This window comes from Homo sapiens, chromosome 18 (genome assembly GCF_000001405.40).
Source record: "Homo sapiens chromosome 18, GRCh38.p14 Primary Assembly".
Lineage (NCBI taxonomy): Eukaryota > Metazoa > Chordata > Mammalia > Primates > Hominidae > Homo > Homo sapiens.
Genome location: NC_000018.10, coordinates 63,363,488 through 63,388,504, shown reverse-complemented (window position 1 = coordinate 63,388,504; position 25,017 = coordinate 63,363,488). Strand labels below are relative to the sequence as shown.

General features: G+C 42.4%; 1 protein-coding gene and 2 long non-coding RNA genes across 3 annotated transcripts in view, besides 7 other annotated features; 2 read left to right on the top strand and 1 right to left on the bottom strand.

Annotated features, from left to right (window-relative positions):
• Positions 1-6,875: 6,875 nt before the first annotated feature.
• On the bottom strand, positions 6,876-21,181 carry KDSR-DT (KDSR divergent transcript). Its single transcript, NR_186602.1, has 2 exons — positions 20,646-21,181; positions 6,876-7,128 (listed from the first exon to the last, which is right to left on the bottom strand). It is a non-coding gene; the product is annotated as a KDSR divergent transcript (long non-coding RNA).
• Positions 20,927-20,976: a silencer, noted in NCBI's record as "silent region_9529". NCBI's record gives its function as "represses an Ori minimal core promoter by ATAC-STARR-seq in GM12878 lymphoblastoid cells {active_cell/tissue: GM12878}" and the evidence as "EXISTENCE:reporter gene assay evidence [ECO:0000049][PMID:35858748]".
• Positions 20,927-21,875: a biological region, named in NCBI's record as "H3K27ac hESC enhancer GRCh37_chr18:61033863-61034810".
• Positions 20,928-21,875: an enhancer, noted in NCBI's record as "H3K27ac hESC enhancer chr18:61033863-61034810 (GRCh37/hg19 assembly coordinates)". NCBI's record gives its function as "activates a minimal SCP1, AML or CMV promoter by ChIP-STARR-seq in primed H9 embryonic stem cells {active_cell/tissue: H9 hESC(primed)}" and the evidence as "EXISTENCE:reporter gene assay evidence [ECO:0000049][PMID:30033119]".
• Positions 21,087-21,536: a silencer, noted in NCBI's record as "silent region_9528". NCBI's record gives its function as "represses an Ori minimal core promoter by ATAC-STARR-seq in GM12878 lymphoblastoid cells {active_cell/tissue: GM12878}" and the evidence as "EXISTENCE:reporter gene assay evidence [ECO:0000049][PMID:35858748]".
• The window catches only part of KDSR (3-ketodihydrosphingosine reductase), a 39,481-nt gene continuing 35,762 nt past the window's right edge, over positions 21,299-25,017 (top strand). The window contains exon 1 of the mRNA NM_002035.4: positions 21,299-21,494. Within this exon, the coding sequence (NP_002026.1) occupies positions 21,387-21,494 (108 nt within the window). The 5' untranslated portion in view covers positions 21,299-21,386. The remainder of the gene's footprint in view (positions 21,495-25,017) is intronic.
• On the top strand, positions 21,505-24,812 carry LOC124904317 (uncharacterized). Its single transcript, XR_007066400.1, has 2 exons — positions 21,505-22,255; positions 23,376-24,812. It is a non-coding gene; the product is annotated as an uncharacterized LOC124904317 (long non-coding RNA).
• Positions 21,607-21,666: a silencer, noted in NCBI's record as "silent region_9527". NCBI's record gives its function as "represses an Ori minimal core promoter by ATAC-STARR-seq in GM12878 lymphoblastoid cells {active_cell/tissue: GM12878}" and the evidence as "EXISTENCE:reporter gene assay evidence [ECO:0000049][PMID:35858748]".
• Positions 21,915-22,209: an enhancer, noted in NCBI's record as "tiled region #13815; K562 Activating DNase unmatched - State 1:Tss". NCBI's record gives its function as "activates a minimal TATA promoter and a strong SV40 promoter by Sharpr-MPRA in K562 cells {active_cell/tissue: K562}" and the evidence as "EXISTENCE:reporter gene assay evidence [ECO:0000049][PMID:27701403]".
• Positions 22,017-22,066: a silencer, noted in NCBI's record as "silent region_9526". NCBI's record gives its function as "represses an Ori minimal core promoter by ATAC-STARR-seq in GM12878 lymphoblastoid cells {active_cell/tissue: GM12878}" and the evidence as "EXISTENCE:reporter gene assay evidence [ECO:0000049][PMID:35858748]".

Here is a 25,017-nt window from a genome sequence, read left to right as displayed (position 1 = left end):
TTGCAGGAAGACCACCCAAACTACCCCCACCCTACTTTTGGGTTTCTTTAGCAGTTAAATTGCTGCTGCTGCTGTGTTAAGATTTTTCTCTGGAGCATGTTCTATTGATCATGTTTAGATCATTTAGATTGTAAGTTCTGAGAGTTACATTTTCCCCAGCAATTAATATAGTGTTGAGTGCTTTTAGGTACTTAGTAAAGACTTGGGGAAAAAAAAAGGGAGTTATATTTTTATTTTGATCTACCTCATGGATTATGTGAGAGACTTATAAAATAGGTAAGTTTATAAAGTGGCTTTGTTCTTACTGGTCTAGTGAAGTTATGATAAATTTCTGTCTCGGTGATTGAGAACTACACAATCAAAAATGTATTCAAACTAGCTCACCCTGGCCCACCAAAACCGATAGTACATCTTTCCCAGCTGCGAGTTCAGTGACCTCATACTAGTAATTTAAAGTCTGCTCTGATGGGAATATTTATACCATAGAAACCAGCAAGAGTTCAGTTAGCCGTAAAAAATCAAGGACTGCCTGTAACTTAAAATAGGAAGATTAATACTATTTACTGCATTTATGGAAATAAAGGAGACAAGTTCTTTATAGATGCATAAAAAGCAATACAATTCAGCACTTGCTTTTTTTTTAACTGCACAAACTAGGAATAGAAGGGAACTTCTTAATAGAAGAAGTTCTACAAAAAAAACCTAGAGCCAACATATTTAATTGTGAATTTTTGAAAAGCGTATTCCTCCAGAGATCAGGAAAAAGGCAAAGGTGCCCACTATCACCACTTTTTCTCAACTTTGTACAGATTCTAGCCAGTGCAAGCAAAAGAAATGAAAGGCTTACAGATAAGAAATAAAATTGTCATTCACAGATGACATGATTGTAGAAAATTGATATAAACGTAGAAATAATGTGAATTTAACAAGGTTGCAGGATACAAAGTCAAAATTATCTTAGCAACAATTAGAAATTGAAATTATGAGAGTGGTGTGTGCCTATAGTCCCAACTATTGGGGAATTGAAGTGGGAGGATCACTTGAGCCCAGGAGTTCGAGGCTGCAGTGAGCTATTACCACACCACTGCACTCCAGCCTGGGTGAGGGAACGAGACCCTGTCTCAAAAAAAAAAAAAAAAAAAGGAAAATACTAATTACAATAGTATCAGAGAGCATCAAATGCCTCAAAATAAATCTGCTCAAAGATTGGTGAGACTGACTTGTAGAAAACCATGGAACGTTACCAAAAGACACTAAGGAAGACCTAAATAAGAGGAGGGATCGACCCTGTTTATGAGATAGATGACTTAAAAAAACAAAGTCAATTTAACCAAATCAATTTATAGATTTAATGCAATTCCAAATCTGGATCTGGGTGGTTGATACAAAGGGTGTGTGTGTGTGTGTGTGTGTGTGTGTGTGTGTGTGTGTGAAAACTCATATGCTTTACGCTGTGCATTTATATCCAGATACATAGATATCCAGAAATAGGCACTAAATAATTTACTGATTCTTAAAAATCTTTTCTAGTTTGTTTTTATGATAGTGTCTCCTAAGTAGATTTTTCTGTCCATCCATCCATAATCATTCATCCAGAAATCTGCATGTTCACACAGACATCTGGAATGACTTCCACATAATGCTCATGATGTTATTAGATTGATTTTTTTTTTTTTTAACTTACTTTACTTCTTGTATCCCCTTCAGGTCTATTCCGATGTCTCTTTTTCAGTGAAACCTTCCTTGGCCATCCTACTGAAAATGACAAACCCTCCTGATGCTCCTTATCCCCATCCCTGGCTGTATTTTTCCCCATAGTGCTTGTCATCTAACATACGATATAATTTACTATTTTCCTTACGTGATTTCTCCCACTAACAGGTATGCTATGAAATCAGAGTTTCTTGTCTGTTTTGTCCTCTGCTGTATCTCCAGTGTCTAGAAGAGTGCTGGTGCCTGATGGGTGTTCAACAAGTGTTTGTTGAGTGAGTGAAACTTACTTTGTATTCTTCCTAAATTTGAACAATCAGCATGTATAATTTCTGCCCCCCACCCCCCAGTGTTCTTCTAAAAAGAAAATTAGGACTGAAAATACCTCAAGAAATTAAGTGACTAAATTCTGGTGAATAGAAATATGGACACTTTTATTCTTTTCTTTATATTTTATCTTTATTTTTAATTTCTCAAAATGAAGTTTTAAGGGGCTGGGCGCAGTGGCTCAGGCCTGTAATCCCAGCACTTTGGGAGGCCGAGGCAGGCGGATCACCTGAGGTCAGGGGTTCAAGACCAACCTGGCCAACATGTTGAAACCCTGTCTCTAATAAAAATACAAAAAAAAATAGCTTGGTGTGGTGGCTGGCGCCTGTAATCCCAGCTACTCAGGAGGCTGAGGCAGAATCATTTGTACCTGGGAGGCAGAGGTTGCAGTGAGCTGAGATCATGCCATTGCACTACAGCCTGGGTGACAGGGCGAGACTCCATCTCAAAAAAAAAGGGAATTTTAAGGAAGAATTTGGTTGACAGCAAATCACAGGAATTAGGACTCCTCTCCCTCTAGAACTCAAGAAATAACAGGAAATGTATTAAAAAGAGAAGACCAGGACAGTCAGACAGTCATCAAACAGATGTACTCTGGAGAGGCACTATTCATCCAAATGCCTTCCGGCCTCCCAACACAGGAACCAAAGTGGGGAGATCCTATTTTTCTTCATCACTTGGTAGCCAGTACCTGGGCCCTTTATGTAACCTTGGCATATCAGGTGCTGCCACTCAGGTCCTTCAGTCTTGAACAAGTAACAGAGATGGCAGGACATTTAAAATAGAATCATAGCAGCATCACCAGCATCTAACTGGATGGGACTCTGGTAGCTCCTAGTGAGATAGCTGACTATATTATTACCTATGGTCACACGGAATGAAGTGCCCAGTGAGGACAAGACATTGGAGAGCCACTTGGCAGCTGCTGTAGAACAAAATACAGAGCATGAGAACTTCAAACGGCTGGTCAGGGCAGAGAAGGAAAACCAGGGATCTTCTATGACTGTCCTAAAATAATTTCTTACAGCCAGTGCCTAAGTAATCAAAAGCCAAACTCAGTATTTGATCTTGCAGGTTGCTGGCAATCAGTTGAATTCACAGATTCACCACATTTTGTATGTGAAAGGAAGAAAATTTAGTAGGAAAACAGCAGGCCCTGTAGTATTAGAATGTGTATATTTGTGAAAATTTGGAGGATTCTGAATATCAGCAACTATCTGGAACATATGTGACAGTGGGTTATGCTGATGATCAAAAAGCAGAGGAATCAAGTTTCAGATATGATTGGATTTATCACTATGGGTTCAGTCAACAGAAATTCTATATTCAGTTTTTGGTTTGAGCCACTGAGAGTGACTTTCATTGTTTGCCTGACTGCTTGAAGAAACTGAACTTGACAGTGGACCCTCTCTGAACTCCAGTAACATATAATGTAAAAGAAAAAAAGCTAACAACTTTAGAAAATAAAGCTTTAGTGGATTTACCACATAAGACCTATCCACAAAGCCACAGTGTTCCTAGAGAACTAGAATCTGGTTCCTTAATCCAAGCTTTGGTAGGTGGAAAGAATGCTTTCTTACTTTTTATTTTATTTTATTTTTTGAGGTGAAGTCTCGCTCTTGTCACCCAGGCTGGAGTGCAGTGGTGCCATCTCAGCTAACTGCAACCTCCACCTCCAGGGTTCAAGCGAGTCTCCTGCCTCAGCCTCCCGAGTAGCTGGGATTACAGGCACCCGCCACCACACCCAGCTAATTTTTTGGTATTTTTAGTTGAGACAGGGTTTCACCATGTTGGCCAGGCTGCAAGTGATCCACCTGCCTCGGCCTCCCAAAGTGCTGGGATCACAGGCGTGAGCCACCGCGCCCAGCTGAAGAAATGCTTTCTAATGTGCTTTTCTTGTCATCTGATTGCACTGGGGCCAGAAAGCAATCCACTTGGGTTGCAGAAGCCCAGCAGTGGCACCGGGGCTAGCACAAGCCAAATGGACTTTGGTACCATGTCAGGCTAGTGTGATCATCAGAAAGGTCTTTCCCACAGAGTCTTAAGCAACAATTCATGAGCGATGGGATCCCTGCAACAAAAACAAATGCCTGTTCAGCTCACTAAGGGGCTACTTCATTAGCCTAACCAAAACCCAAGTCTGGTGGATACCTGACCAGAACCATCATGATAATAGGCAAAGCATGAAGCACAGCATTGATTTTGTACCACTTGAAACAAGCATAAGCTTGGTATTGTTGAGGAAGGATCCTGCAATAATACCACAAGTACCTTCCTTTCGGCCTTCCCCGAAGGGATGGGAGGCTACTTACCAAAGCTGCTAGGAAATAGTGAAACAGAAATATGAAGACTTTAGAGGACTGTGGGACACTGGCTCTGAGCTAATAATCTTAACTGGAGAATCAGAAAGTCACATGGTCCACTGGTCAAGAGGGTACTTATGGGGGTTTAGTGATAAATGAGGTGGAGTTTTAACCAAAGTGTGCATTGGTTAAGCTGAATGAATATCTCCGGGAATGATCAGTCACCAGAGCAGTTCTCTGACATGTGGGGTGAAGGTTAATGTAAAAAGAAGGGTCTAGGAGAACCCCCTGGAACTTTCCCCTCTTACAGAAACAGTAAATAATAAACAATTGTTACAACACTAGAGGAAATCACAGAAATACTGCCACCATCCCGAATATGAGAAGTGTAGGTATGGTCTTACCTACCAGGGCCCCGTTTAACTCTGCAGGATGGACAGTATAGAAAATAAATGAATTTTAGAGAATAACAGTGAATACATACTTTACATGTTCTTCCACTGGCCTGGTATTTCACAATTAAGAAAATAATGAAGATATATCTAAGGTAAGTTGAGAATTGAAATAGATGTAGAAGAAAGAATAGACATTATATAAACTTAATCTTACAAATGGATAGTAATATGAGATTCCAAAAGTTGGTGGAGCAAGAAATGGAGGTTTAAAAACAGTTTCAAAGGTAGGTGATAAAATTCTAAACCATTAAAAAATTGGAAGGGACAAGTGAGGGGTTAATGCAAGTGAGCTAAAGTCTCATCTCTCAAAGTAGGAAGCAATCATGTATAAGGTCAGTAAATTGAGATGTAGTACGATAAGCAGACAGGGAGGTAACTCAGAAAAATTATTTGTTTGGAATTGCTGCTTTAGAAGTCATCCCCAAACTTCATGGTTTCAATTATTTTCTCTTGGTTCCTGTGGGTCAGGAATTCAGGAAGGGCTTGGCCAGGTGCTTCTGGCTAGGAGAGCTCTGCACAGGTGCAGTCCCACAGCTGCTGGACAGCTGATGCAACTGGGCGCTGGCTGGATAGCCCTCTTCATGGAGACCTGGGGTTGCTCCAAGTGGCTGCTCTGCGTAGGATGTTTGGGCTTCCACACAGCATGGCTGCCACGGGGCAGTCTGACTGCTGACATGGTGACTGATGACTGCAACTTCAGGAGCAAGTATTCCAGGGACCAAAATGGAAGCTGTACCACCTTTAGCAATCTAGCCTCTGAAGTCACATAGTGTCTCTCCTGCCATATTCCATGGATCACAATATTCACAGAAGCCAACCCAATTTTGAGGGGAGGGGACATGGATTCCCCCATCCCTGGAAGGAATGTCAAGGTGACATTGTAAGAGGAGCGGTTGAGTTGGCAGATGTTGTTGTGGCCACTTTTGGAAAATAAAATCATCCACAGGAATCAAACCTAAAAAAAGACTGGAAGTCATTGCCCCTGGGGAGTGGAATCAGGGCTGAGGAGGGTTTGAGGGTAGGGAACTGTGAAGTTAGATCTTAGCCCACTGTACTGTTATTTTTTTGTCCACACACAGCTATTCTTTTGATTAAAAAATCAAATGGGCCAGGCACGTGGCTCACGCCTGTAATCCTAACACTTTGGGAGGCCGAGGCGGGCAGATCACGAGGTCAGGAGTTCGAGATCAGCCTGGCCAACATGGTGAAACCCCATCTCTACTAAAGATACAAAAAAATTGGCCAGGTGTGGTGGCAGGCACCTGTAATCCCAGCTACTCAGGAGGCTGAGGCAGGAGAATAGCTAGAACCCAGGAGGCGGAGGCTGCAGTGAGCTGAGATGGTGCCATTGCACTCTAGCCTGGGTGACAGGGTGAGGCTCTGTCTCAAAAAATAAAGATGAAATAAAGTAAAATAAAATAAAAACTAAAGTATCAAGATCACCTCTAAAAAAATAATTGCAGGATTTAAAAAATTGTAAGTATTATCTAAGCTATGTAAAATGTATGTCCAAAATAAAACTAAAAGAAGTATGGTAGAAATCTAGTACCATCTATCCAGATGTCAGAACTTTATATATACTGGCCTTGAGCCTATAATGTCCCTGCCCTCAAGAAACTTACAGTCCAGTTAAAAGGACAGTCAAGTGAATCAATGATTATAGTGCAACACTTTGAGATCAAGGACAGATGTGCAAAGCGCACCGCACAGCCATTGAAGAGGAACAGCTAAAGACTAGGGGAAAAAGTGGAGGGGGAGAGCCTCATTTGCCACCACTGGTGGTGAATATCACACAACTTCTTAGTCTGAAAGCTAGGAATTATGGGAGACATTGAACATTTGCTCTTCCTCTTTAAGAGGAATAGCAGTTGATACCTAGATGATGAGGGAAAGCTCTCTCTCTCTCTCTTTCTCTCCAGAAGAATGCCAGCTAATAAATGTGAAGGGAACAGCAGAATTTAAAATACCCTTTGCCAAGCCCGATGAAATGATTCAGGCAAAGATCATTGATGGATGTTAAAATTATTGAGTGAGATGATATTTACATGGCCTATGAGTGTATAATAAACCACTCAAAATCTTAACGGCTTAAAATGGCCATTTATTATTATTCACAAGTCTGCAATTCAGGCAGAACTCCATGGAGAGGGTTTGCCTCTGCTCCACATGGTGTTGGCTGGGGTGAGGAATCCAAGATGGCTCCATCACATGTCTGGTGTCTCAAGTTGGGCTGGCTGGACTGTTCTCTTTGATGTGATCTCTCATCATGCAGTAGTCCAGCCTGAGTTTCTTTCCATGGCAGCTTACTCCCAATCCCGGAAGCTTCAATGCCTCTTAAGGCCCAGACCAAGAAATAAACAAGTTAGAAGACCAGTCAAGATTTACGGCATGAAAAATAAATTCTACTTCTTCATGGGAGGACCAGCATATGCAGATAGGAAAGGGAGGAACTGTTGGTGATGACCCACCCACATTCAGAAGTGTCCTCTCAGATTACTTGCTCACCGCCAAGGAGAACACTGGCTTTACAATGGAGAGCTATGGCTGTCACCACCTTGCCAAGGAAATCAAATTGAGTATCACTAACAATGGCAACCAGACATCATGTGCCACCTGGTAGGATGCAACATGAAAACCACTTACAAAGTATTCTTATAAAAAAATGTGTAGTCTGAATCTAATTGAGCCATAGACCTAATGCCAGGTTACAGAAAATTCACTGGAGAGAGAAATAACACCACAAGAAATCAATCAGTCAGAAGAGAATGCAGGGTCTTCTACAAGACAACTGACCCAGTCTCTTCAAAAAAGTTAATGTCATTTTTCTAAAAAGGTTGGAAGATTCTTCTATTCTTCTAGATTAAAAAAAGTTGGAGATGTATAACTCAATGCAATATATGAACCTTGCTTGGATCCTAGTTTGGAAAAAAAAAAAAGCTATAAAAGACAATTTGGGCTGGACACAGTGGCTCACGCCCGCAATCCCAGCATTTTGAGTGGTCAGGGCAGGTGGATCACTTGAGGCTAGGAGTTCAAGACCAGCCTGCCCAACATGGTGAAATCCCATCTAGAAAAAAAAATGGGGGGCAATTGAAGAAATATGAATATGGGCTGGATTGTAGGTAATATTATGGAATTGTTATTGCCTTAGGTGCGATAATGGTATTGTAGGTAATGTTAGTGTGCATTGTACCCTTCACTTTAGAAGACATATGCTTAAGTGTGCTCATACAGGGATGCAGAGGAAGTGCCATGATGTCTATAAATTACTTTGAAATGGTTCGGGGAAAAAAAACCCACACATGCACTTAAACACTACATGAAGCAAACATGTCTAAATAAATAACACTGAAGGATAAAGAATCGTTTCTGCAGTTTAAAAAATATCTAGTGATAGAATCTATGACTAACTGCCGGGCGTGGTGGTTCAAGCCTGTAATCCCAGCACTTTGGGAGGCTGAGGCGGGCGGATCACTTGAGGTCAGGAGTTTGAGACCATCCCAGCCAACATGGTGAAATCCCGTCTCTACTAAAAGTATAAAAATTAGCCGAGTGAGGTGGTGGGAGCCTGTAATCCCAGCTACTCGGGAGGCTAAAGCATGAGAATCACTTGAACCCGGGAGGTGGAGGTTGCAGTGAGCGGAGATCGTGCTACTGCACTCCAGCCAGGGCGACACAGTGAGACTCCGTCTCAAAAAAAAAAAAAAGAAAAGAAAAAAAAAGAATCAATGACTAACTGATCTTCAGTGCTTCCCACACATCTTTCACGTTTTTCTCCTTCCTCTCCCAAAATTTGCCCTTTGTATTATTTTTGCATATAACATGTACATACATATTATTCTTTACCCTACATCTCACATTTGCTTTAGGCTTTGGTGTACTGTTAAATAGATTCAATTTTCAAAAGATTGCTCTTTTACTATGCTTTTCCCAGTCAGCTATTGGCTGGCTGAGTCATCCTGTAGTCTTAATAATTTCCTCAAGAACTGCTTATGGGAAAAAGATTTCCTTGGTTATTAGATGTTCAAAATTATTTGTCTGAAACTTTTATGGGTGAAATACAGATTCGCTGAACGTGAAACCTTGACACAACATTCCTTCCTTGAGGATCTGACAGATGTTGCATCGTTCTCTCATGTTGAATGTCACTCTGGAGAAACCTGAAACTAGCCTGATCTCTTTTTAAGACAACTGACCTGATGATTTTGTCTAACTGACCAAAGTCTTCACTCTTTTAAAATCCAATACTTACTAGAGAATGACTCAATGTTGATTATTTTCAGTCAGTTTTCCCTGGTGTAAAATATCATATCTATCTACCTATCTATCTATCTATTTATGTGTATGTGTGTACACACACATATAAATGTTCAAATGCTTTAGTATTTTAGGAAAGTGTATTTGAAATTTTTAAAAATATTTCTAATGTCTTGTTTTTTTTCTTCAGGTATTCCTATTCTACATATGTCGACTCACATCCTTTGTCTGTTTTCTTATCTTTTTTTCTGTCTTTTAAATTCTTTGTTTTCATTTCATTTTGTTTGCTTTACTCATTATTTCCTTTCTGTTCCTTACTGTGTTTTTCACTCTATTCTCCTCCTGCGTTCACTTTCATTTTCATATCTGTGATGATTTTTACTTTTACTTCTTTCCTGATTTCTGCCAGTGTAACTTTTATCTCCTCTTGTTGTTTCATCATTCTTCCCTGAGTCCTTGCATTTGTAGTCTTCCTTCATAAAATAACTGCTTCACCAAATGTTTTAAATCATGGTGAAATATTTAAGTATCCAAATAAAAGATTTTTTGTTTTGTTTTGTTTTTTCCCTGAGTGTAAATCTATTGAGGAGTCTTTCTGCTCTTCACCGCTCTTTCCCCTCTTTTTTTTTTTTTCTCTCATAATACCTCTGTATCAGGATTGTGCCAGTTCCTTTCAAAAGAAATTACTTACCTTTCAAGTCGAGCACGGTGGCTCACACCTGTAATCCCAGCACTTTAGAAGGCCAAGGCAGGCAGATCACCTGAGGTCAGGAGTTCGAGACCAGCCTGGCCAACATGGTGCAACCTCATCTCTACTAAAAACACAAAAATTACCCAGGCATGGTGGCAGGTGCCTGTAATCCCAGCTATTCAGGAGGCTGAGGCAGGAGAATCACTTGAACCCAGGAGGCAGAGGTTGCAGCGAGCCAAGATTGTGCCATTGCACTCCAGACTGGGTGACAAGAGCAAAACTCTGTCTCAAAAAAAAAGAAGAAGAAGAAAAAAAAGAAACTATGTATCTTTCAGGCCGGGCACAATGGCTCACGCCTGTAATCCTAGCACTTTGGGAAACTGAGGCAGGCAGATCCGCTGAGGTCAGGAGTTCAAGACCAGCCTGGCCAACATATGAAACCCATCTCTACTAAAAATACAAAAATTAGCCAGGCATGGGGGCACATGCTTGTAATCCCAGCTACTCGGGAGGCTGAGGCAGGAGAGTCGCTTGAACCCAGGAGGCGGAGGTTACAGTGAGCTGAGATCATGCCACACCCTAGCCTGGGTGACAGATAGAGACTCCATCTCAAAAAAAAGTGTTTTTAATTTAATTTTCTATATTTTGTTCATTTTTAAGAATGTAAGAAGAGTAAGAATGCCAATATTGCTATTCTAAGGTAATCCAAAATATCTTTTTAATGGTTTCAACAAGATACAAAAAATATTTAAAAAAAATTATCAGATAAGATTAGAAATTAGCTTAATGGTTCTTATTGTTTATTTCCTGCTTTCAACTTTTTCATGTCAACCAAAAGAGTCAAATTCTAAAACATTTGAAGAGATTTATACTGAGCCAAATATGAGTGAACAATGGCCCATGACACAGCCCCGGGAGATCCTGAGAACATATGCCCATGGTGGTTGGGCTGCAGCTTGGTTTATACATCTTAGGGAGACATGAGACATCAATCAATACGTGTAAGATGTACATTGGTTTGGTCCAGAAAGGTGGAACAACTGGAAACTGGGAGGTCATAGGCAGATTCCAAGATTTTCTGATAGGCAATTGGTTGAAAGAGTTATTATCTAAAGACCTGGAATGAACAGAAGGAAGGAAGGAAGGAAGGGGGGAAGGAGGAAGGAAGGAAGGAAGGAAGGAAGGAAGGAAGGAAGGAAGGAAGGAAGGAAGGAAGGAAGGAAGGGAGTTATTTAGATTTCTGCTTTGTCATAACCCATGCATTTATTTAACTCCAAGTTTCCTGAGGACCAAATCATCAGTCAATTTAACAATAAATTATTGGACACCTACTTAGGTGTCCAGAATTCAGCAAGGCACTGTGGAAGAATCTTCTGAGTCAAAGAGTTATAAGTCATGTGATTACTTTATAATACAATGTGATAAATGTTATAATTAAAATGTGGAAAATGTGGATTAGAGAAAAAATACTCTTCTTAGGTTGCTTGGGAAAACCTCACTGAGCCACTGACACATTTGAAATCAATCTTGATAAATAAACCAGCTCACAAGGCAGAAGGTAGAGTGAGGAACTTTTAGAAAAAAAGACATTGCTGATGAACTGCATCAGGTTGACCAATACAGGAAAATTTGGGTATAATGCCATAGAGACCAAAAAAATTCTTTCTGTAAGACACAGTATCACCAGGATGATAAAAATATCAAGAAGAACCTGCATTGTCAGCTGGGTTCTGAGGGGCTGAGAGCCAGTCACCCAATATAGTGCTTCTGAGTTTGTATTTTGCAGGGTTTTCATGGATGGCGAGTAGGTTGTGGCCAGAATTTAGGTTATATGCATTCTGTGTTTTTGGTATGTGTGAATCTGAATAGGCAAGAAGAACTTGTATTAGTTTCGTAATACTGTTGTAACAAATTACCACAAAGTTAGTGGCTTAAACCAATGCAGATGCATTATCTTACAGTTCTGTCAGTAAGAAGTCCAGTACAGGTCTCACTGGGCTAAAATCAGGACGTCAGCCAGAGATAGTGTTGCAAGCCTGTAGTCCCAGCTACTCAGGAAACTGAGGTGGGAGGATTGCTTGAGACCAGGAGTTTGAGGCTGCAGTGAGCTGTAATCACACCACTGCATTCCAGCCTGGGTTATGATTGCATCACTGTACTCCAGCCTAGGGAGAATTAGTTTCCTTGGTCATTCAGGTTGTGAGCAGAATTCAATTCCTTGTGGTTGTAGGACTGAGGTCCCATGTTCTTGCTGGCTGTCAGCTGAGAGGTGTTCCCACTTTCTCGAGGCCACCTACACTCCTTGGCTTGTGGCCCCCTCCTCCACTTTCAAAGCAGCAATGGTGGGTTGAGTCCTAGTTGTGCTTAAGATCTCTCCTGCCTCTTCTTGCATTGCTGCATCTCACCCACCCACTCTCCTGCTGTCCTCTTTCACTTTAATTTTCTCTGTTTTTATTAAACTTGTTACTTTAAGATAATTGTAGATGCACATGTAGTTGTAAGGAACAAAACAGAGATCCCCTGTACCCACTTTCCCCCAGTGGTAACATCCTGCAAAATTATACCACTATATCACAACCAGGATATTGACATAGATATAGTCAAGATACAGAACATTCTTATTATCACATGCTCCCATTTTTATAGCCACATCTACTTCCCTCCTGTTCCACTTCCTCCTTAACCCCTAGAAATGATGTTAGTTTTTGATTTTTTGTTTTGTTTTGTTTGAGATGGAGTTTCACTTTTGTTGCCCAGGCTGGAGTGCAATGGCACAATCTTGGCTCACTACAACCTCTGCCTCCTGGGTTCAAGCAAGTCTCCTGCCTCAGCCTCCCAAGTAGCTGGGATCACAGGCATGCACCACCACTCCCAGCTAATTTTGTATTTTTAGTAGAGACAGGGTTTCACCATGGTCAGGCTGGTCTCGAACTCCTGACCTCAGGTGATCCATCCACCTCGGCCTCCCAAAGTGCTGGAATTACAGGTGTGAGCCACCGTGCCCGGCCAATGATGTTAGTTTTTTAAAAAAAAAATTTAAATTTTTTGAGATAATCTTGCTCTGTCACCCAGGCTGGAGTGCAGTGGTGCAATCTCAGCTCACTGTAACTTCTACCTCCCATTCCCCTGCCCACCCCCAAGCAATTATCCCACCTCCAGCCTTCCAAGTAGCTAGGACTACAAATGCAGGACACCATGCCTGGCTAAGTTTTTGTACCTTTGGTAGAAGCAGGGTTTCACCACGTTGCCCAGGTTGGTCTTGAACTCCTGAGCTCAAGTGATCTGTTCGCCTCAGCCTCCCAAAGTGTTGGGATTACAGGTGTGAGCCACCACTCCAGCCTGTTATTTATTTATGATATTGCCATTTCAAGAATGTTAGATAAATGGAATCACATAGCATGTACTGTGGGATTGACTTTTTGTCAACTTTTTGGGATTGACTTTTTTCCCTTAGCATAATTCATCCTGGTTGCTGTGTGTATCAATAATCCTTTTTTTTTTTTTTTTTTTTTTTTGAGACAGGGTTTTGCTCTGTTGCCCAGGCTGGAGTGCGGTGGCACAATCTTGGCTCCCTGCAGCCTCCACCTCCTGGGTTCAAGCTATTCTCATGCCTCAGCCTCCTGAGTAGCTGGGACTACAGGCACATGCCACCACGTCCAGCTAATTTTTGTATTTTTGTAGAGACGGTGTTTTGCCATGTTGCCCAGGTTGGTCTCAAACTCCTGGACTCAAGTTATCTGCCTGACTTGGTCCCCCAAAGTGCTGGGATTACAGGCATGAGCCACTGTACTCTGCCATCCATTCTTTTTTATTGTCAAGTAGCATGGTACTGTTGAGTATTGTTGAGTTCCACGGTACATATGTACCACAGTTTGTTTAACCATTCACTTGTTGAAGGACATCTGAATTGCTTCCAGTTTTTTACTATTTTGGATGAAGTTGCTATAAACATTTATATACATGTTTTTGTGTGAACATAAGTCTTCATTTCTCTGGGATAAATGCCCAGGAATGTGATTGCTGGGTCACATAGTAGTTGCAGGCTCAGTTTTTGCTTTTCTTTTTTTCAACAAACTGCCAGACTGTTTTCCAGAAAGGCTGTGCCATTTTTTACATTCCCATCAGCAATGTATGAGTAATCTAGTTTCTCCACATCCTCACCAACATTTGGTGTTGTCACTATTTTTTGTTTTAGCCATTTTTATCAACATATACTGATATATCATTGTGGTTTTATTTTATATATATTTTTTGAGATAAGGTCTCACTCTGTCACCCAGGATGAAGTGCAGTGGCGTGATCTCAGCTCACTGCAACCTCTGCCTCCTGGGTTCAAGTGATTCTTCTGCCTCACCCTTCTGAGTTGCTGGGATTACAAGGGCATGCCACCATGCCCGGCTAATTTTTGTATTTTTAGTAGAGACGGGTTTTCACCATGTTGGCCAGGCTGGTCTCAAACTCTTGATTTCAGGTGATTCACGTGCCTTGGCCTCCAAAAGTGCTGGGATTACAAGCGTGAGGCACTGCACCCAGACCATTGTGGTTTTAATTTGTATTTCTCTAATGGCAGATGATGTTGGACATATTTCTTCATGTGTTTATTTCCTATCTGTGTGTCTTCCTCATGGAAATATCTCATGTAAATTTCCCATGTTATAATTGGTTTTATTATTATTATTATTGAGATGGAGTTTCACTCTTGTTGCCCAGGCTGGAGTGCAATGGTGTGATTCTCAGCTCACTGCAACCTCTACCTCCCAGATTCTCCTGCCTCAGCCTCCTGAGGAGCTGGCATTACAGGCACCCACCACCATGCCCGGCTAGTTTTTTGTGTATCTCTAGTAGAGATGGGGTTTCACCATGTTGGCCAGGCTGGTCTCGAACTCCTGACTTCATGTGGTCCACCGCCTCTGCCTCTCAAAGTGCTGGGATTACAGGCATGAGCCTTTGCACCTGAAGGTTTCAATTTTTTTATTGTTGAGTTTTGAGAATTATTTGCATATCCTGGATACTAGTCCTTTGTCAGATATGTGGTTTGCAAATATTTTCTCCCAATCTGCAGGTTACCTTTTTTTCCTTTTGTCAGGGTATTTTGCAGAGTCAAAATGTTAAATTTTGATGAAGCCCAATTTATCAATTTTTCTTTTAGGGACTGTGCTTTTGGTGCCAAATCTAGGAAGTCTTTATCTAATCCTAGCTCTCAAAGTGTGTTTTTCCTAACATTTTATAGTTTTAGATTTAAGTCCATGATCCTCTCTGTATTATTTAGGGTACTCCTGAGAAATAGAATGAATAGGATGTATACATAAGCAAAGAGATTTATTATAAGAAATTGGCTTATGCAATTATAGAGGCTGGAAAATCCCAAGATTTGCAGGGCGAGTTGGCAAGCTAGAGACCCAGGAGAGCTAATGTTTCAGTTCAAGCCAAAGGCAGAGGAAAAAGCCAATGTCCTAGTCTAAAGATCATCAGACAGGAAGAATTCTCTCTTATGAAAGGAAGGATCTTCCTTTTTGTTCTATTCAGGCCTTCAACTGACTGGATGAGGTCCACCCACAGTAGGAGGTACAATCTGCTTTACTCAGTCTTCTAGGTTAAATGATAAATCTCATCCAAAATACCCTCACAGAAACACCCAGAATAATGTTTGACTGAATATCAGGGCACCACATGGCTCAATGAAGTTGACACACAAAATTAGCCATCACCCTTTCTTAAGTTTTGCAGATGGTATAAACTTTTGGTTGAGGTATTTTTTTTCTATTTGTTTGTTTTTCTTTGTCTATGGACGTCCAGTTGTGGCAGTCCCATTTCTTTTTTTCTTTTCTTTTCTTTTTTTTTTTTTGAGACAGAGTTTCCCTCTTTTTGCCCAGGCTGGAGTGCGATGGTGTGATGTTGGCTCACTGAAACCTCCACCTCCTGGGATCAAGTGTTTCTCATGCCTTGGCTTCCCGAGTAGCTGGGATTACAGGCTCTCACAACCATGCCCAGCTAATTTTTTTATTTTTAGTAGATATGGGGTTTCACCATGTTGGCCAGGCTGGTCTCGAACTCCTGACCTCAGGTGATCTACCCACCTCGGCCTCCCAAAGAGCTGGGATTACAGGCATGAACCACCATGCCTAGCCTGGCAGTCCCATTTCTTGAAAAGGGTATCTTTCCTCCATTAAATTGCTTTTGCACTTTTGTCAAAAATCAGTTAGGTGTATTTTTGTGGGTTTATTTTTGGGGCCTGTTGATCTATGTGTCTGCCTTTCCGCCAGTACCACACAGTTTTCATTGCTGTAGCTATATAATCAGTCGTGAAAGCAGGTAGATTGATTACTTCCACTTTATTCTGCTTTTAAAAAATGTTTTCACTATTTTAATTTCTTTGCCTTTACATATAAATTTTATAGTAATCTTGTCTATGTTTACAAAAATATTGCTATAGTTTGAATAGGCAGTGCATTAAAATAATATATCAGTTTGGAAAAAAATTGACATCTTTATTATACAGAGTCTTCTAATTCATGAACATAGTATGTCAGTTTATTTAGATCTTTGATTTCTTTCATCAGCATTGCACAGTTTTCAACATGCAAGTCCTGTACATGTTTTGTTAGATTACACCTATTTCATTTCTTTCAGAAATTATAAATGAAATCATATTTTTAATTGTAGTGTCCACAAGTTCATGGCTAGTATATAAAAATGCATTTTATTTTTGTATATTCTTTTATTTTTGTATTATGCAAATTTTCTGGAGATGCTTAAATTCTACTAGGTGTTTTTCTTTTTTCAAGATTCTTAGGGATTTTCTGCATAATCAATCATGCCATCTGCAAGTAGGAGTCGTTTTACTTATTACTTTCTGATCTGTATGATGTTTACTTCCTTTTCTAGCCTTATTATTTCTTGCCTTATTGATCTAGAACTTCTAGGACTGTTGAATGAGAATGATGAGAGCAAGTTTCTTAGCTTTGTCCTTGATCTTATGGAGGAAGCATTCAGTATTTCACCATTAGCTGTAGGTTTTTCTACAGATGTTCTTCATAAAGTTGAGGAAGTTCCTCTATATTCTTATATTTCTGAGAATTTTAATTATGAATGGGTGTCAAATTTTGTCAAATGCCTTTTCTACATTGATTGATGTATGATCATGTGATTTTCCTTCTTTCACCTGTTAATATGATAGATTATACTGATTGAATTTGAAATATTGAAACAGTCTTGCATCCTTGAAATAAATCCCAGGTAGTCATAGGGTTTACTTATCTTACTTGAAGTAAATTTACCAATGGAATTTAGATATCATGGGGTCTCATTCATAGAGAATTGGCTCACTGGAGGCCAAAATAAATGCAAAGGAACAACAACGTCAGAAAGCTGAACATGGAATCTCTTGATTGTTATTATCTGTAATCACTAAATTATAGGGATAGTGTTGGGGCAGAACCTGATGCTGGGCCAAGCTGGAATTCTAGCCATTGAGCCATAGCTGCTAGTTCAGGGCCACCTCCAAAGGGAAAAGTTATGCTAAAACAACAGAGAGCAGACTTATTCCAAGAGACTAAGGAAAGAGAAAAGGGAGAGAGAATGGATAGAAATTTAAAAATAGTTATTAAGAGATATCATAAATAAAGTGGGCATTGGTGGTGTTGAAACAAAAGTCTTAATGCAGCACTCTCAGAAGTTGGATGGACAAATGGAAACCCTTACTAGTCCCCCAACATTGAAGGGCGCTAAACAAATCCACTTTATTCAACCTAGTTTGGATAAATTTTAAAAGCTGCAAAGCAAAGATGACTGTAAGAAACCTGACTTCCAATCACCTGGGGTGAAGATATGCAAAGTAGTCAAGGTAAGAACTGAAGAAAGGCCGGGCAGGTAGCTTATGCCTGTAATCCCAGCACTTTGGGAGGCCGAGGTGGGTGGATCACCTGAGGTCAGGAGTTTGAGACCAGCCTGGCCAACATGGTGAAACCCCATCTCTACTGAAATACAAAAATTAGCCAGGCATGGTGGTGCATGCTTATAATCCCAGCTTCTCAGGAGGCTGAGGCAGGAGAATTGCCTGAACCCAGGAGGCAGAGGTTGCAGTGAGCCGAGATCATGCCACTGCACTCCAGCCTGGGCAACAGAGCGAGACTCTGTCACACACACACACACAAACAAAACAAAACAAACAAAAACTGAAGAAAGAACCTAGGCCCATTGGCCTAATCTCTGGCTGGGGTCCAAGACCAAATGTACGTGAATGGGTAAATTGTCAGGGGTGGAAAAGAAACATTTCTAAAATTCTTTGACATGGGAGCCCCATGCACTGTTTTTCTGTTAGTGAAATTCTAACCAAGGCAACAGATTGGAAAGATATGAAAATACATTTGATGGGATTAAAATGAAAGTTTGGATAGAAACTGGAATGTCTGAAGAGACTCTATTTGGAGTGGTTGCATCCCCTTTACATGAATGTACTATGGGGATGGATATTGCCTGAGGAAAATTTCCTTTACCTAGTAATGTAAAACACAAGACAGGTGGCCCTGCCCTTCAGACAATATTGATTGGACATGCTAAATGGGAACCAGTAAGATTGCTGAGCCCACACAAGTTGTTAATATTAAAAACTATAGGATACTTGGTGGACAAAACATGTTAAAAAGACAGTCTGGTACCTAAAGGGTGAAGGCCACTTCTGTTTTTGGAAACTGATAGCATCAGATGGGAACTTTCAAGCCTGAGTGGCATTTCTCTGGGAGACATTTTGGTCATACAATATGATGATGAACTGGACCAGTTGTTGATGGCAGAGTGGAAGTCTTATATCTATCTGCCACTATCTTTTGACTCTAATTTTTCAAATTATGTTTACTACCATATCATAATACAGTGTAACTCTGGGATTGTAAGTGAGGTTTTAATGTTCACACTGATGGCCAATGTATTGAGAAATTGAGTTAAAAGCCTCCTACTCTACACTGGCTCCTCCAAATGTCAGATATATGTTCATTTTACTGTAAGAGAGCTTTGGCCAAAGGCCAGGTGGCAGCCGTGTTGTAAAGGATTCAGTCTTGCCCAAAGAGAAGGTTTGACTTTTGCCCTTGGCTTATGGGAGGTTATCTACGTCATACCTGATAGGAGTACCTCTGTTTAGATGGGGACTGGGCAAACTGGATTTTAGGGTGGAGACTGGCCATTCCAGAGAGACCAAGTATGTGAATTAGGGGGCTTTTGTCATGCACTATCAGTCTAGTTGGAGTCTCAGTCCAACCAAGTGGACAATTGATCAAGCCTATGTGCTGGAGTCCCAGTAAAAACTCTGGACACAGAAGCTCAGACAAGTGTCCCTGGTTGACAATACTCCAAGCATACTGTCACATACCAATGCTGGGAAGGTAACACAGCCTGACTCCGTGGGAGATGACAACAGGAGCTTTGCATTTGGAGCCCTCCAGACTCTGCCTTAGGCATTTCTTTCCTTAGCTGACTTTGATCTGTATTCTTTCCCCATAATAAACCATAACTATGAGCATAATGGCTTTCAGTGAGTTCTGTGAGTCCTTCCAGTGAATGATCAAACCTGAGGGTGGTTCAGGAACCTCTAAACTTGCATTGATATCAGAAGTCTTGGACATTATGCCTTCAAATTTTGCAGTTTGGCTAACTGCTGTAAGTCAAGAAAAAAAGGAAAAGAAAAACTTTTTTTTCTCCTTCGCTCCCTAGTATTTCTAGAAACAACAACAAAAATGAAAAGCAAGTAAGCAAACAAAAATATGTGCCTCTATGCAAATTAAAATCACAATGAGACTTCACACCAACTAAAAAAGCTATAATCAGAAAGACGGATGATAACAACTGTTAGTGAAGATGTAGAGAAATTGGAACCCACATACACTGCTGGTGGGAACACAAAATGTTGTACTCACTTTGGAAAACTTCTGGCAATTCCTCAAATAGTTAAACATAGAGTTGCCGTAAGATGTAGCAACTCCCCTACTAGGCATGTACCCAAGAGAAATGAAACATAATGCCCACACAAAAACCGGTAAATGAATATTTACAGTTAGCATAATTCTAATAGTCAAAAAGTGGAAACAACCTAAATATTCCTCAATTGATGAATGGAAAATTAAAATGTCGTATAGTCATACAATGGGATATTATTTGGCAATAAAAATAAATGAAGTATTAACATGTAGTACTTCATATCATGGATGAACCTTGAAAACATTACAGTAAGTGAAAGATAGGATGAAAAAGGCTACATATTATATGATTCCATTTATGTGAAATATCCCGAATAGGCAAGATTATAGAGACAGAAACATGAGGGATTGCTTAGGCTTGGGCGGGGCTTGGGAGGAAATGGGTCGTGACTGCCAATGAGTATAGGATTTTGGGGGGTTGTGACAAAAATGTTCTAAAATTTATGGTAGTGATGGGTCTACAACTGTGACTATATTAAAGACAATTTATTATAAGCTTTATTTATTTATTTATTTTTGAGACGGAGTCTTGATCTGTCACCCAGGCTGGAGTGCAGTGGCGCGATCTCACCGCAATCTCTGCCTCCCGGGTTCAAGCGATTCTCCTGCCTCAGCCTCCAGGGTAGCTGGGATTACAAGCATACGCCACCATGCCCGGGTGATTTTTTGTATTTTTAGTAGAGACGGGGGTTTCACCATCATGGCCAGGCTGGTCTCGAACTCCAGACCTGAAGAGATCCGCCCGCCTCAGCCTCCCAAAGGTCGGGGATTACAGGCGCGAGCTACCTCGCCCGGCCTATTACGCACGTTAAATCGGGAATTGTATGGTATAGTACGTGAATGAGACCTTAATAAAGCTGAGTTGTTTGCGTTATTTATTTGTTTTGAACCTGCTTGGTAAAGATGAACTCTGAACTCAATGAAATTGAATTACCTTAGTGATTCCTCAAAACTCCCTGTTAAGGCTTTCCGGTCCTCTGAAAAGCGAAAGTGGGCCGTGACCATCTTCTAAAAACGCCAAAAAATATGGAATGGAGCCCGGGATTTCAGAGCGTAGTCGCTGGGCTCCCAGGCTGAGCCCGCTCCGGGAGCCTCCAGCCGCCCTTTCCGATGCTCCGGGGCCTCCGAGCAACCCAGCGGGCAGTCCCAAGCCGAGGGCTGAACTCCAGGGAGGAGCGCTCGTCACGCCCACACTGGAGGCCGTGGCAGGCCTGGAAACCCGCCCTGCGGGGTCCTAAGAAGCCATTCGAGCTCCCGAAGAGCGAGTCTTCGCAGCCCTTCCCGGCGCGCTCGCATCTGGCGCTGTCCGGAGCCCGCTCGCGACGCACAGGGACGGGAGGCCCGGTTTCCACGGGAGAGGCTGCGGACTGCGGGCCCCGTCCCGAGGCCGGGGGAGTGGGAGACACCCGGCGACCCCCGAGAGGCGATTCTGGCAGTGGTGGCGGTGGCGGTGGCGGTGGCGGCCTACTCGCCCCCTGGAAGCACCGCCCCGCCTGGGTGGCGCGCGCGCCGGCTCCTCCTCTTCCCCTCCGCCGCGGCCCGCCCCGGCCCGCAAACCCAAACACTCCAGGCGCCCGCCCGCCGCGCGTGATTCTCGCCTCGCCGCAGCCCAGCCCTGCGCGCCTTGCCCGGCGGCCCCCGCCCGGCCGCTCCGGGCCCCTGGCCCCGCGGAGCGATGCTGCTGCTGGCTGCCGCCTTCCTCGTGGCCTTCGTGCTGCTGCTGTACATGGTGTCTCCGCTCATCAGCCCCAAGCCCCTCGCCCTGCCCGGGGCGCATGTGGTGGTGAGTGGCCTCCTGTTGCTGCCCCCCGACTTACCGGCCCGCGCGGCCTTTCCGCCGCCGAGGCCGCGTAGCCTACGTCCCTTTTTCCAGGCCGCGGTCCCCAGGAAGGCATGGCCAAATGGGGAAGGTCACCTGCCGCCGTCCACCCCGGCGCTTTTCCCCCGGCCCCGGCACCCGGCCTCGCGGACCCGCCCTCCGCAGCCTCGGGCTCCTCCTAGGGCCGGAGAGCGTGCGACGGGGGACCCCGCCGGCCGCAGGGTTCCCGGGGCCCCAGGGGTTCTGTGGCTGCTCGTGAATCCATGCAACATCCCTGGGATGTGGATGTTTTGTCCTCAGTTTTTCCGATGAGTCAACTGAGGCACAGAGAGGCTGAGAAACTTTGCCAAGGACACAGCGGTCGGTGGTGTGCAGGGTGCGGCGCGCGGCCCCGGGCGGGGGCAGACAGCGGGGAAGTGGGGTCCCAGCCGCCGGGACCCGCCGAGGCAGCTCGGAACTGGAAGATGGCCTGTGCGAGTGACGGGAAGAGCCGCTGCCAGAGGATTCCAGGAAGTGACTCACCTGGGGAAACTGCTCAGAACCCAGCGGGCTGGCGGTGGTGGCTTAGCGGTATTGGGACGCCTGTCCCGTCTACACTGCTTGTCTCTGAGCTCAGCGTGGCATCTGCTGATTGCTGCTCCAATGCAATCCTTTGCTGTTTTCTAGTGGGAAGGATGAGCTAAACGACAAGGCTTGTGTGCGAGGAATGAAGGAGAGGTGGATAGGTGTGATTTATTTCTTGGCGGAAGCTCGCATATTCAGCGATCCCTGTTCTGCAAATGTGGCACCTTTCTTAAACAGAGAGAATGCCTCCTTGCCTGCGCCCAGCACTTTCCCGTTTGCAGTGGCTTTCTCACGAGCATTCTCGTTTGGATCTCCCAAACCCGAGGCACAGTGAGGCGAGGAGTTAGGAGTAAGGAGGGTTGGTTACAAAATTGGCCGCACACCTCTTCCTGTCCTATCTCTGCACCGGAGATCCGAGCCTCCCCGCTGAGCTGGTATAAAATAAGATGGTCGTTTTTCTTAGTATGCTTTAAATCTGTACAAGGGTTTGTGAATGAGAAAATGTATCTGTTTAATTTCTCCTTTGTAAAGCTATTAGCTTTTTCCAACACCTCCTGTTCCTAATGGGGAAAGAGTGTGGATTCATTACAAAAAATAAATAAGAGAAAGGCAAAACTTGACACTCTAAATTCTGAAAGTTTTACATCCGCAAGAGAACTGCTGCCTCAAAAGCGTGGCTTTAAACCTTGGATCCTTTCAGAGCTTGAGTTTATAGAGCATAACTTTGCAAAAACTAAAGCTAAACGCAGAATGAAAATTGGAATTCCTTATTTGTAAGACAGTTTCACTGAGCCTTGACTCCAGTCCTTCCAGCCCCATCCCGCGGCAGGTCATAGGTGAGATAATAAATGCTGTGTCTGTTCAGGTGGACCAAGAAGAATTTATTTTTACCATCCCGCTTTAATACGCAGGATTATTATTTCACACTCTAAGTAATGTGAGAATGACATGAATAGTTCACATGGTGTCACCATCTGTCTTCTTTTTTAATGTCATAAGAAGAGTGAAAAGTGTAATTGTTCTTGAGATTTGTTAGGAGTTGACTGTGGTATTGTTGGGAGAGGGAGCTGATGGTTAAACTGTCTGCCCATACATAATTAAGAACAAACTTATAACAATTGTTTCATTTTTAAAACAATTTTATATACTAGTGTTTTCTATCTAGTTACGGTAGTAAAATTGCAGGAAAAAAGCAGAAAATCACCCACCTCAGCCTCCGAAAGTGCTGGGATTACAGGCGCGAGCCATCGCGCCCGGCCAACAACAGCTATATTTTTACAGTAATCTGCTGATAACTGGCTGATTACCGACCAAATAAATCTCTTCAGTGGTGGCAGGTTGAAGCTAAAAAGAAGTAAGGGATGCCTATGAGTCCCATAGAGGTAGGTGCATTTGCGTAGGAGACACTTCCCAATGATGTTAAAATCCTAACATGGAGTCAGAGATCTTCCTCCCAGCATGATTTATGTATAACAGTGAATATTAGGAAAAATCTAAATGTCTGGTTATAGGGAAACGTTGAAGTTTTGATGCAGCTATTTGATGAAGTATTGTGAAACCTTTTCGTTTTTTGACAAATAAGACATTACAATATAATTTTTTAAAAACAGGAGACAATACTATGCAATATTATGTAATTTGCATAGGGACAGTGACTAGAACGATATGGCCGGGTACAGTGGCTCACTCCTATAATCCCAGCACTTTGGGAGGTCAAGGAGAGTGCATAACTTGAGGTCAGGAGTTCGAGACCAGCCTGGCCAACATGGTGAAACCCCATCTCTACTAAAAATACAAAAATTAGTTGGGCGTGCTGGCGCACGCCTGTAATCCCCACTACTTGGGTGTCTGAGACAAGAGAATCGCTTGAACCTGGGAGGCGGAGGTTGCAGTGAGCTGAGATCGTGCCACTGCACTCCAGCCTGGGTGACTGAGCAAGACTGTCTCAAAAAAAAAAAAAGAAAAATAATGTTGCATTGTTCACTTATTCAGTGAAATATATAATATATATTGAGCCCTCCCCAGGCTAAGTGCTAGGAATATAGTGGAGAACAGAAAAATAATTGGTATTTTTAATGGAGTTTATGGGTAGGTGATAGGAGAGGTGGTTGTGAATCAGATAATCACACAAATAAATCTAGAGCTGTTTATTATGTGCATGTCATAAAGAAGAAATACAGTGCTGAAAAGTGTGTCAGTGTGGGGGCAGGGGAGACAGTGAAGGCTTTCCTGAGGAAGTGGTATTTGAGCTGAGATTTGATGGGCGAGTAGGTGTCAGATGAAGTGGGGAGAAGAGCATTCGTTGCAAGGGAAGTAGGATGTGCCAAGGTACTGTGGTTGGAGGGTTTTTACAGTAATCTTCTGCTGATAACTGGCTGATTACCCACCAAATAAATCTCTTCAGTGGTGGCAGGTTGAAGCTAAAAAGAAGTAAGGGATGCCTATGAGTCCCATAGAGATAGGTGCATTTGCGTAGGAGACACTTCCCAATGATGTTAAAATCCTAACATGGAGTCAGAGATCTTCCTCCCAGCATGATTTATGTATAACAGTGAATATTAGGAATAATTCCATAATTGAAAGCCAGTATAGCTGAACTGTAGATAGGGGTAGAATAGTGCAAGAAGAGCTTTACTTTTCAGGATTTCCTTGTGATTGTATATTACTTTTATACTAAGCAGTCATTTCAAATAAATATTCAGGTGGCCATTCTTTTCATCTGTTGTAGAGCTAATCTTGCATAAATGTGCATTAAGAAAATAAGATTCAACCAACCCAAATGTCCAACAATGATAGACTGGATTAAGAAAATGTGGCACATATACACCATGGAATACTATGCAGCCATAAAAAATGATGAGTTCATATCCTTTGTAGGGACATGGATGAAATTGGAAACCATCATTCTCAGTAAACTATCGCA